At 44.9% G+C, this 12,139-nt stretch overlaps 1 annotated feature.

Moving 5' to 3' along the window:
* Positions 1,106–1,279: a silencer, noted in NCBI's record as "fragment chr10:132373035-132373208 (GRCh37/hg19 assembly coordinates)". NCBI's record gives its function as "represses an EF-1alpha promoter that drives an FKBP-Casp9 reporter gene in an ReSE screen in K562 erythroleukemia cells {active_cell/tissue: K562}" and the evidence as "EXISTENCE:reporter gene assay evidence [ECO:0000049][PMID:32094911]".

A 12,139-nucleotide genomic window follows, 5' to 3' on the forward strand; every position in this document is an offset into this window, starting at 1 on the left:
GCTTCCTTCTTCGGCTCTGCAGCCTCCTACCTTCATGGACAGGGGACAGCTCTCACGTTGCTCTGGTTTGTATTTTCCCTTTGGCTTTCTCATTGTTAGATTTGAGGGACGTAGCTTATGCTGGTTTTCACAGAAAATGTGAAACTGATGAGGGCCCATGAAGTCAGCTTAAGGAAAATCTTCAGTTCCTGAGCATTGAATTTTCCTTGACTGAAGGGAGCTATATTTGAACCTACAAGGACCTCAGGTGCCAGGCAAGTTCTAGTTAGAAGTTTCGAGCTCTCTCAAGCAAAGATTTTCTTTGCATAGGAAACAATTTACCGGAGGAATAAAGGGTGCAGCCCTTTCCTCCCCGGACTTCTAGAGAGGAGCAGATCAGAAGACAGCGTGAAGCTCCTGGGACCTGCAGGCTTGCGGGATCCCTTGAACTCAGGACCATGGTCCCTGGAATCCAAGCCCCACGTGGGTTCCCTTGAGCCCAGGCATCTGGTGTGCCTTCAAGGCCTCTGCCTTCTGTCTCAGGGCAGACACACAGGAGTGCTTGAGCTGTTTAAACTCCAAACTACAGAGACGGGCACTTGCATGTTTATTTCAAGTGGACAAACTCCAGAGTCTGAATGCCCACAACATGGTTTCACATCCAGATGATCTTCTTACCCCTCAAATTGGAGCCTGTGTGTTCTTCTGGAATCTTGTGATCCAAGTCACAATGGAAGAGCCTGACATTGTTCCGGTGGCATCTTCAGCATTGCCATGTTTTGGTTATGGGGCCTGAAATAACAGCTTCTGTGCACTGTTTTATTCTTCCACTAGGAAGACAGGTGACGTGATGCCAGTAAGAAATAGATCTAGTTTTACCTTTGAGGTTTTGTGCTCCCTCTTCTTATTAGCTCAGTCTGCATTTGACCCACCGTGATGTCTGCTCACGGCCCTGGTATGTTTCCCCATTACCTCCTGAAGCAAGAAGAAAAGTTTCAGTGTAGCAGCCAGATCTCCCCCGTCCAGGCTCAGTCTGCATGTTCCTCCTATCTGGCATGCCATGACTTTGCACTTGTAGGTGCAAGGGCTGCCTTTGCTTTCATAGCTTCCTCTGCATGGGAGCCCACCTGCTTACTCCGTTCCTATGGACACCACCTTAGAAATCAAGTCTGTCCCTGACGCTTTCCCTCTAAGAAGCACATTCCTGCTCAATCCCATGCCCACTGGCCCGGGCACCTGGTTTCCATCTCTCCATACTTTAAGCTCCCACAGAAAATCATTCATTCCCTCACTTACTTATTCATCCATCAAACACTCGCATCCCTCCTGCTGTGTGGTGGAACTGCAGAAACGAAAACACGGTCTCTGCCCCCAGGAAGTCTCATTGCTGCCAACCTTTCTGAAAGAATCATCCCGGCCTAACTCTCCTCCCTCCCTTCCCCTCCTTTCTTCCCTCCAGCTGGTATCTACCCACTTCCTACTCCCACCCCTTCACCAAAACTTTTCTCTTAAGAACACTAATGTCTTCTATGTGGCTAAATCCAATAGAAGATTTTAGTCTTTTTCTGACTTGACTTTTCATCAGCTTCGGATGCAGCTGGCCACGCTCCCTCTTTGGTGGGCTTCCCCCGTGTCAGACGCAACACTCCCCCTGGCATATCCACACCATGTTAGAGGCAGGGAGGGTGGCCTGTTCTGCCAGGGGACTAGCAGGTCACGTTTGATTCTATTGGCCTGGGAGGAAACTGGAGAGGAGCCAGTTGGGAGAGTCCATGGCACTCTTTCCCTCTGTTTGGGTTCCTGGTCTCCCTTGTCTCCCCTTCTTTTCCTGGGTCTTCTCCTCTCTGGTCTTTGTATATCAGAGTTCCTAGTGATGGGCCACAGTGCATGTCCCATCTCCCTGATTCTGTCTGTCTCCATGGCGCCCAGCACATTCTCACGGCTCCCTGTCCCATCCAGATGCTACTCACCTCTCCATTCAGACTGCTCGTCCAAGCCCCACACTTGTATCTCCACCTGCCTCCTTGACACGTCCTCTTTGGTGTCTCCCCAGAATTGTAACTTTAACATATCCGAAGCTAAAGGCATCATCTCCCCTGGTCCTTCCCTTGAGAATTATCACCCCAAGCAAAGTAACAAACAAACAAAGAGGAAAAGCCTGTTTCTCTCCTGGAATGCTGCCTATCAATAATGGTGTCATGGACTGCCATTGCTGACGCCAGAAAGCATCACCCCACACCTGCCCATTTCCAGGTCCTGGGAGGCTTCATCCTCTTCCCCAAAGCACTGCAACCCAACGTTCCCTGCCCAGGCTATTGCAGTTGTTTGCTGCCTGCTTTCTTCCTGACCACTCTGGCCCTTCGACACCACTGTGGGAAGCATCACCTGACCATGCCCACTAGATATGGTCACTGTCCTGGGGAGACCCTGTGAGGCTAGCACTGCTCTGAAGGAACACAGGTGGCCTACGGGGTCCCATCCACCCAGCCTGTCTGCACCTCTGCCCCCCTCTCCCAGCTCTCCTTGTCCTCACTTTCCGCCCACACCAGCCTTCTTCAGTGCCTTGGGCTCTCCGGCTCCTTCTCATTCAGGGGACTCTCCATGTGCTCGGCCTGCTGCTTGGAAGGACTGTGTCTCCCACATCCCCCTGCCCTTGGCTTGGTCGAGTTTCAGCTTAACTGTCCCTTTCAAAGGCAGTGTTAGATGCTTCCAGGATACAGTTACATGGAATTTGCTCAAGTCTTATAGCCGCTATCACCATAAAAGGCAAACCATTTTTTTGTGCAAGTATTTATCTCCTCTCTGCCTCACTGGCTGGATTGTAGACTTGCACGCGGGGCTGTATGGGCTCGTTTACTGATGTGTCCCCAAGCCCAGGGTTGTGCTGGACATAGGAGCCACCCAACTGCATGGCTGGACCACTGAATGGTTGATGAACTGAGGGAGATCATCTCTAGCCTGTCCTCAGAGTGCTGACTTCATTCTGCCGCACACTAGACATGCTGGGACCTGTGTTCCGCTTCCTGCTACACTTTCCCCTCCTTCAATGCTCCTTATTCATCATGCCTGCCTTGCTCACCCACCGAGGGCGAGGGGAGTATTTTTGGCAGCTGGCGTCTCCATGTGATGACTCTCAGGGCAGCTTTGAGGATCTGGTGGGTGCCCACAGTGTGATCAGATTTCATGAAATGTGCCACTCACTCTCCTTTTCTCTTGGTGACCATCAGAAAAAAAGAGTTTCCTTTTTAGAGCTTATGGCCTCAGTGGCTCGATGGCAGTTATAGTGCCCCTAACAGCTGTTACTCCTTGCAACAGTGGATCAGCAATGAAGCTGAGCTTGGGCTTAATGGAAATTGTCCCTTGAACGGTTTGAATTTGGAACGTTTATTCTCCATTAATTTCAAGTAGACTCTAAATTGAGCAAAACAGTCTCTGTCTTTCCTTTTAGTGGCAGGGTTTTGCTGACAAGTGGACACCAGAATTGTCCAACTCGATTGGAGGCATCGTGATCTGCAGATCTCAGGAAATGTGCTAAGCCCCCAAGTCACATCATTCCAGTTGGTTCTGGACCCCAGCGAGCTTCATCAGCGCTGAGTGTGGGAGACACTGTGAAACCTTGTTAAGATCAAGCAGACGGCACACCTTACTTCCTTATGCAGACACTGGGAAAGACACACAGAGATGGGCATGTGGGAAAGACCAAAACTTTCTGCCCTCAGTGGGAAGGGGCGTCTGAAGAGCCACCCTCCTGCACCTCACTCCTTTCTACAAACAGGCGTTCTTGTTGCGTGGCCTGACTAGGGGAGCAGTGGCAGCTCCAGGATTTCTCCCCAGCACATTCTAGGTGGTGATCCAGTTGGGAGTGGGGCCTTGAAGCTGTGTTTGCACCACACAATGAGGCTGAGACAATGCCAACCAGCGCTTCACGATCAAAGCATGCAGGCGGTGGGGTGTTGATATATAACCTGCCTGTGACCGCACAGTGAGTCGATGGTGGGCTTGATTTGAAGTGCAGCAGTCTGGCTCCAGAAATCACACTTTGCCCCCTGCGCCAGCCTGTCTCCAACCCTCAGACAAACAAAGGTTGTAGGCAGGCACATGCAGAGAGACCCTTATGCATCTGGAATTAGTGAGAGTTTGAATGGAATGGTGCACGTGCTAGGTTTTGTGTTGTCTATGGGATGTCTAAAATAGAACCTTGCTCTGTAACTGACTTTAAATTACTACGTTAAAAAAAAAAGACATAATTATTCATTGTTTCTATGATGGCTTCTAGTTTACAAAGAAATTTTACACATTTTTTGCTTTCTTTGTGTCCAGCCTGGGCTTTGGGTTTTGGGGGCGAGAATCCCATTGCTCTGTGGACTCCCAGCCCCCGGGGCCCCTGGGCACACGCAGACTCCCCTCTACTTGCCCATCCTCCTTCTTTTCCATTCTCCTTCACCAGTGGTCCAAACACGCGTATCTGGCATCTGCTGAGCAGGTTCTTGCTGTCCTGCTTCTTTGGCGCTTTCCAAACGGCAGAATTCCAGTGCTGTCCTCTGGCAGGTGCCTGAGAATTACCTGGAGGGGCCACAGCAGGGGACTCTCCGTGCTTCCTTCCCTGTGCTGGAAGAGTCACTTCAGCTGACCTCGTTCAATGCCCTCTCACTTGGCTCCTGGCAGCCCCTTGCTCCTGGGATCTCCGTGCCCAGGGACCACTCACCCTCCACCTAGGCAGAGAGCACAAAGCTCTGAAATCTTTTCTTTTTTTTTTTTTTTTTTTTTGAGACACAGTCTCACTCTGTTGCCCAGGCTGGAGTGCAGTGGCACCATCTCGGCTCACTGCAACCTCCACCTCCTGGGTTCAAGCAGTCCTCCTACCTCAGCCTCCTGAGTAGCTGGGATTACAGGCATGCACCACCATGCCCTGCTAATTTTTGTGTTTTTAGTGGAGACGGGGTTTCACCATGTTGCCCAGGCTGATCTCCAACTCCTGACCTCAACTGATCCACCTGCCTTGACCTCCCAAAGTTCTGGGATTACAGGCATGAGCCACTGCGCCCGGCCAAAGCTCTGAAATCTTGACTCTCCTCTCCTCCCCTTCCCTGGGCTGCTGCCTCTGTGGGCCTGGGCAGGGTAGTCCTGGAGTGACGGTGGAGGCAGCAGAACCAGTGAGCCCCTGTCTTAAGCGTTGAGGGGCATCTGTTCCTAGCTGTCTGCAGCTCTTTTAAAAGGTGAAGTATTGAGGTGTTTGATGCCCCTTTGTCCTCAGCCTCGGGTTCTGATAGCCCATTTAATACAACAGATAGAGCTGCACTCAAGATCCTCTACAAATGGGGTACTCTCTCAACACTTGCTTTCCCCAGTCTCTGCTTCCTCCAATCCTGTTCCAGGATGGCTATTGATGTGTCCCCTGACCCTCTTTCCTGCTTCCCTCCAGCCATAGGGGATGTGGCCTGACTTCTCCAAGGGCCTCACCTCCTCCTGCCTCCTCTCCACCTGCCTCCCCCATGACTTTCCCTTGCTCCGTAACCGTCATTGTGGCTCACTGGGCATGGTGGCCAGCGTCGGCTACTTTAATGTTAGGGGAGCTGTCCGTATTTTTCACCTCTGAAAATGTAATGTATCCTTGCAACTGAAAATGGGAAAGACTTCAGCAAAACTTTTGAGACTAGAGATTTTTATAAGACAATTCATTGAAAACATTGTCCTGTTTATTTAATAGTTACTGGCCTACTTGATCTTTCGTTTTCTTTTGAGTCAAGTTTGTCCTCTTGCACATTCTAATTAGAAGTTTTCACAGCTCTTTGATAATATCGTGTTGCATTTTGGGCACAGAACTCAACCAGACTGTCACGGTGGGCTCACCTTCTCCCTGCGTCCATGTGCATTAGGGTGGGGTTTGACTCTTGTCCTTTGGCAGGTTGTAAAGGGCCAGCTTTGTATTCAACCACTGTGCTTCAATCAACTAAAATACTGTATCTTACAGGACTACAGAAAAAATAAAAGCATTTATAAGAAGAAAGAAAACCTTCTAAATTCTTAGAAAGGTTGGCTTTTTAGTGATTTGTTTCTTCTAAAAAACAAAAAAAGCCACCACATTTGTCCATTTAAAGTGGGAATATTTATAAATGATTACAAACCAGATGCATTTGCAAGCCTTTCAAGAGCAACAGCTCTGTCAAGAAAGTGCTTAAATAAAAAAGAAATTATTGCAATTTTCAAGTTGAGTGATAAAGTGTGTATAATTGCAGTGGTTAACGTATGCGTTTAATGAAGTATATCTATCTTCTTGCGGAACTCCACCATCAGTTTGGGATGCAGTAAGTGTAACGAAGACACAAACACTGTTCTTTATGGGTTAAAATTCCCAACCTTCCCATCGTACCTCTGTTAATCAGCATTTAGCTAGTGTCAGCTGTTTGACCAACTCCTTGCTAAATGCCGACATCCAGGTTTGCCCCAGGGGAGCCTGCAGTCAAGTGGGGGAAGGAAGGCTGGTCCCTGAGGCCTGTGGTTGGGACCAAAGGCTTTGAAGTCAGACAGCCCAGGGTTTTAATCTCAGCTTCTTTTAACTGAAGGCAGATGTGGGGAATTTTCCTGAACCTTCTGAACCTGGATTGTCTCATGTGTTAAATGGAAATGATAATTACAATAATCATGTCAACAGGCCAGGGGCATTGGTCATGTTAATTGTGAGGATGATGATGATTCTAGCCAATTGTTTAACTGTTAATGAGTACCACTAACCAACGACTTAGAATCTCCAAGGCTGCAGAAAAAATAGGGGAAGGTAAGGGGAGACCTGCGCAAGTCTCTGAGGGCAGATCAGACTCAAAAAAGTGACAAGAGGGATTTTATGCCGCATTTATCCAGACCTTGTTACCTGGTTCCCTTACTAATCTCGTTATAGGTGTGTTTAATCTTGCAACTGTTAAAACCTTTTTAATAACATGAGGTACATACTATGTTTTTATAAAATTGATTGTCTATAACCTTATGATGTCATATCCATGTGGGCTCATCTCCAAGCAGTGATCCAAATTGTTCTCAGAGAGATACTTCCTTAGCTTGCGTTCTTCAGGAAACAAGGAGACACAAAGCTCTTCCCTATCATCCATTTCCCTTACATGCCCGGTTGCTTCCAGACCTCCTCAAAACTTGTTGGAAAACTCAGACCCTGGCTTGGCTTCAGAGACCGCTGCTTGGAGTGCAGGGTGAGGGGATGGAAGAAACCGTGAGAGAGAGAGTGGGTTCTCTGAACTGGCAAGGGGAAGGCAAATCCAGGCCACACTTACATGTTCATTTACAAGTCCGTGTGTCCATTTCGCAGTCTGCAGCACATAGCATCCCACCCAATTAGCAGAAGACATTGGTCCTTCCATTTCCAGATGGATCCCTCATAGATGTGGGAGGCTGGGGGTTCACAGCGCAGTCTCCATGATTACTGCAGGGATCAGGACAGCTTGCTTGGTCACCTGGATGTGGCCATCCTACACCAGGATACATGCAGAGTTGGAGAGCTTTGAGTGAGGCACATTGACGCCTTGGAGCCAAGACTCTTTGCAGAGCTGCCCTATCCCACCTGTGGGCCGATCCCTGTACCACTGTGTCTCCTTCCTGTGCATGGTAACTTACAGAAATAATGAAGGGTCTTCACCGTGCCTTTCGGCCTGTGCTACTCCTGTCCTGTCACCTGCCACTGCTGTGCACTCTCTCTTTCCCCTCTTCCCTCCCTGTTACTTCCCTTATACATTCTCTTTCTTTCACAGGATACTTTTTGTAGATTCCTCAGGGCTCCCACAGCTGTCAACAGTAATGAGAGTGAAGACTTTCATTTTGCCTACTGGTTAGGACATGTGCACCATCTTTGAATCTTTGGTTATTTTTATTCTCAAGAGATAATACACCCACTGCAGTCTCTGAGATTCAGAGAAACCCCAGGCAATCGAGGTTTTCTGTGTGCCCTGTGAAGAAGTGACTTCATTCTTGACTTCTACCTTTTGGCTGTAAGCATTCCTGACATTCAGTGAGGAAGGTGGTCAGTGCTGTGTGCCATCTGAGACTGGTACGGAAGGGAGGGTCATATGGAATTCAAAATATATCATCAAAACTCAACTCCAAGATCACCCTAGGGGTCTCACATTGCTATCAGCAATGAAAGAGTTCCACGGGAGTGAATGATACCCAGAGAGACCCATACTCAAAAGCTTTCTTCATGCTGTTCAACGCATCATTTAACATTCATGGTGTTTCTGTTGTCAGTTTCAGCAGTATGTAAGAACTAACACAACCTGGAAAGGGGATGATAGAGCTCCACAGCTTTAAGTTAGCCTTTGGATTTCAAATGGAACCTGGAAACAGGACAAACCCAAGAGAGCTAAGTGCTGGACACACACATTGGTGTCAGGCTCTCCCATAGAAAGAGGGCTGGCCAAGGAAAGACTGAAGGGAAAATTTAGAGATCAGAGGAGAAGCCAAGTCACATATGCAGTGGGTATGTTTTATGAAATATTGCATTTTTAGAAAAAGTCATATAGAAGATATACTATAGGTATAATGTAATACTAATAAACCAAACACTCACATACCCACTATCCAATTAATGAGAGTGAACATTAACAATTCTTTGAAGTCTGCTTGGGCCTCTCCCTCAGCATCATCTTCCCTTCCTGAGATCATCAGAGTCAAGTTTTGTGGGTACAAATCCTTACTCCTTTTCATTTTTTTTGGGTTACACATGTACCAATCCCTAAACAGCATTTTATTTGGTTTGCAAAATTGTTGACTTTATGTAACTGTCACTGTACTATATGCATTATTTTGTGGTTTGCTTTTTTGGTTAATGTTAAGTTTGTGAGATTCTTCCATGGTGACGAATGGAAGGAATCATAGTTCGTTCATTTTTACTGCTTTATAGCATTCTGTTAAATGGAGATGAAATTATTTACCTATTTCTCTGTCAGTGAATTATGTTCAAGTTTTTGTTATTACAATAGCTTCTATAAATATTCTTAAACTTGTTTCCTGCTGCATATAAGCAAATATTTTATATATATTTGTGTGCGTATATATATATATATATATATATACACACACACATATATCTATATCTGTGTGTGTGTGTGTGTGTGTGTGTGTGTGTGTGTATTTCAGGGTATAGGGTATGCACATCTTTTAATTTAATGAGGGGATGCTTATTTGTTTTCGAAGTGCCTGCATCGTTTTCCACTCCCACCCAAAATTAAATTGCTTCTCCTACCTGTCAGAAGTTACTACTGCAAGATTTTTAAAAATATTTCCAGGGCTGGTGGGTGTGAGATAGTCTTTATGGTTCTGGCTCCCCATTTCCATGATTATTAGTGAAGCTCAGCATCTTTTTGTATGTTTTTTGCTTATTTTTTTTTTTGTAAAAGATGTGTTTGAGATATTTTTCTTATTTTTCTGTTGAGTTGATTATAGATTTTTGTTGACTTGAGAAGTTCTTTTATATATATATATATATAGTCTAGATTTTTGTTATTAAAAAAATTGTTGCTACATAGCCCCATCCTTTATGGTGTATCTTATCAGCAGATGTTTTTATTTTAACATAATCAAATGTATCTCTTTTTTTTATGTTTTTGCTTCTTATTTAAAAATGCTTTCCAACTTCAAATTCATAAAGATATTCTGCTAATTTTCTTTCCTTCTTTCCTTCCTTCCTTCCTTCTTTCTTTCGTTATTATTTATTTATTTTTTTTGCGACGGAGTCTTGCACTGTCGCCTAGGCTGGAGTGCAGTGGCGCGATCTTGGCTCACTGCAACCTCCGCCTCCTGGGTTCAAGCGATTCTCCTGCCTTAGCCTCCCAAGTAGTTGGGACTACAGGCGCCCGCCACCACACCCAGCTAATTTTTTGTGTTTTTAGTAGAGAGGGGGTTTCACCATGTTGGCTAGGCTGGTCTCGAACTCCTGACCTCATGATTCACCTGCCTCGGCCTCCCAAAGTGTGGGAATTACAGGTGTGAGCCACTGCGCCTGACATCTTTTTTTTTTTTTTTTTTTTTTGAGACAGAGTCTCGCTGTGCTGCCCAGGCTAGAGTGCAGTGGTGCAATCTCGGCTCACTACAACCTCCACCTCCTGGGTTCAAGCAACTCTCGTGCCTTAGCCTCTGGAGTAGCTGGGATTACAGTCATGTGCCACCACACCTGGCTAATTTTTGTACTTTTAGTAGAGATGAGGTTTTGCCAAGTTGCCCAGGCTGGCGTTGAACTCCTTGTCTCAAGTGATCTGCCTGCCTCGGCCTCCCAAAGTGCTGGGATTACAGGCATGACCCACTGCAACCAGCCATTTTCTGCTAATTTTCATCTTAAGGTTTTATTGTTTTGTCATTCATATTTAAATCTACAATCAACAGGGACTGGCTTGGCAAGTGTAAGAGTGACGGAATTTGTGGAGTAAAACCACAGTAATTTATTCATTTCATATTGTGTAGTATTTCATTACATATATCAGCCACATGCATATATCCATTATTCTATTGTAGAATATTTGAGTTTATTTCTAGTATAGAATGCTGTTGCAATAATAATAATGTTGAATGCTGCAGCAATGAACGTTCTTATACATTTTATTTTGTGGTTCCAGTGCATATGTGTATCTACTGGGAAGATACCAGGAAGTGGAATTCTTGGGTCATAGGGCACGATATGTTCAACTTTAGCAGGTGATAGCAATCAGTTTTCTCAAGTGTTTGTAACTTTGTAAACCCCTAATAAAAGCGAGAATTCCCACTTGTCCAGATCCTCATCAACACTGGGTACTAGAACCCCTTTTATGTCAGCTCTTTTAGGGAATGGATAGTGGTTTCTGCTTGCATTTCCTGACTAGGAATGTCATTGACATTCAACACATTTCACAATGTTTTATGACTATCACCACTACCTAGTCTCAAAACATTTTTATCACCCCAGAAAAAACCTCTGTCCCCATTAAGCACTTACTTCCCACTTCCTTTCCTCCCAGACCCTGGCCACTGCCAATCTGCTTTTTGCCTTTTCTGGATAGTCCATCTAAATGGAATCATGCAAACTGTGGCCTTTTGTGTTTGGCTTCTTTCACTTCCCATAAGGTTTGCAAGATTCTCCTGTATCATAGCATCCTTTCTCAAAGGCTGAAAAATGATAAAAAGCTTTTGGGGGGGAAAAAAAAAAAAGGAATGTCATTGAGCACACTTTTGTATATTTTTTCATGATTTAAATGCCTTCTTTTGTTCATTGCCTTTTCTTTCCTATTATTTTTTCTCTGCTGCATTATCTGTCACTTTCGCACAGTTGGCAGAAGTTTTTATGAAATATTTGCTGGATATGGTGTTGTAAATGTCTTCTCTCACTCAGTCAGCTTGCCTTTTCAGCTTTAATGATGACCTTTAATGAACACAAATTCATAATTTTAAAATAGTCAAGCTTATCAATCCTACCTATTTTAGTTCATAATTTTTATTTTCTATTTAAGAAAACATCCCCCACTCCAAGCCATGAAAACGCCATCTTACGTTATTTTCGAGAAGTGATGCCATTTTGCTTTTCACAGTCTGGTCTACATTTCAATCAGCCCTGCGTTATTTATAGAAAATGCCATCCTTTCCTCTCTGCTCTGCAGTGCTGCTGTGTCATAAGCCAGGTGTCTGTGTATGTTGTGTGTGTGGGTTTATTTCTGGACTTTTTATTTCTGTTTCATTGGTATGTGTATCCTCACGTCAGTACCAGTTTGTGTTAATTACTTCAGCTTTATAATCAATGTGAATGTCAGGTGGAGTGAGGTATCCCATTATTCTTCCTCTTCCCGACCATCCAGGCTAGCCTGGGTCCTTTGCCTTTCCATTTAAATTTTAGACTAAGCTTGTAAGTTCAACAGAAAACTTGTAATTTTAGTTGGACTGTTTTGAATCAATTTGCAAAAATTTGACATTTTATAATATTGCCTTTAAATCAAAAAAACATGGTTTATTTCTCTGTTAATTCAGGGTTTCCTTAATTTCTCTCAATCATTTTTTAATGCATAAAGGTCTCGCATATTGTTTGTTAGATTCATTCTTAGGTACTAGATATATCTGACATTATTGTAAATAGGGTCTTTATAAAATGTATTTTTAAACTCTGACTAGGTAGAAATAGAGATCGTCTTTACTCATTGAA

This window comes from Homo sapiens, chromosome 10 (genome assembly GCF_000001405.40).
Source record: "Homo sapiens chromosome 10, GRCh38.p14 Primary Assembly".
NCBI classification, from domain to species: Eukaryota; Metazoa; Chordata; class Mammalia; order Primates; family Hominidae; genus Homo; species Homo sapiens.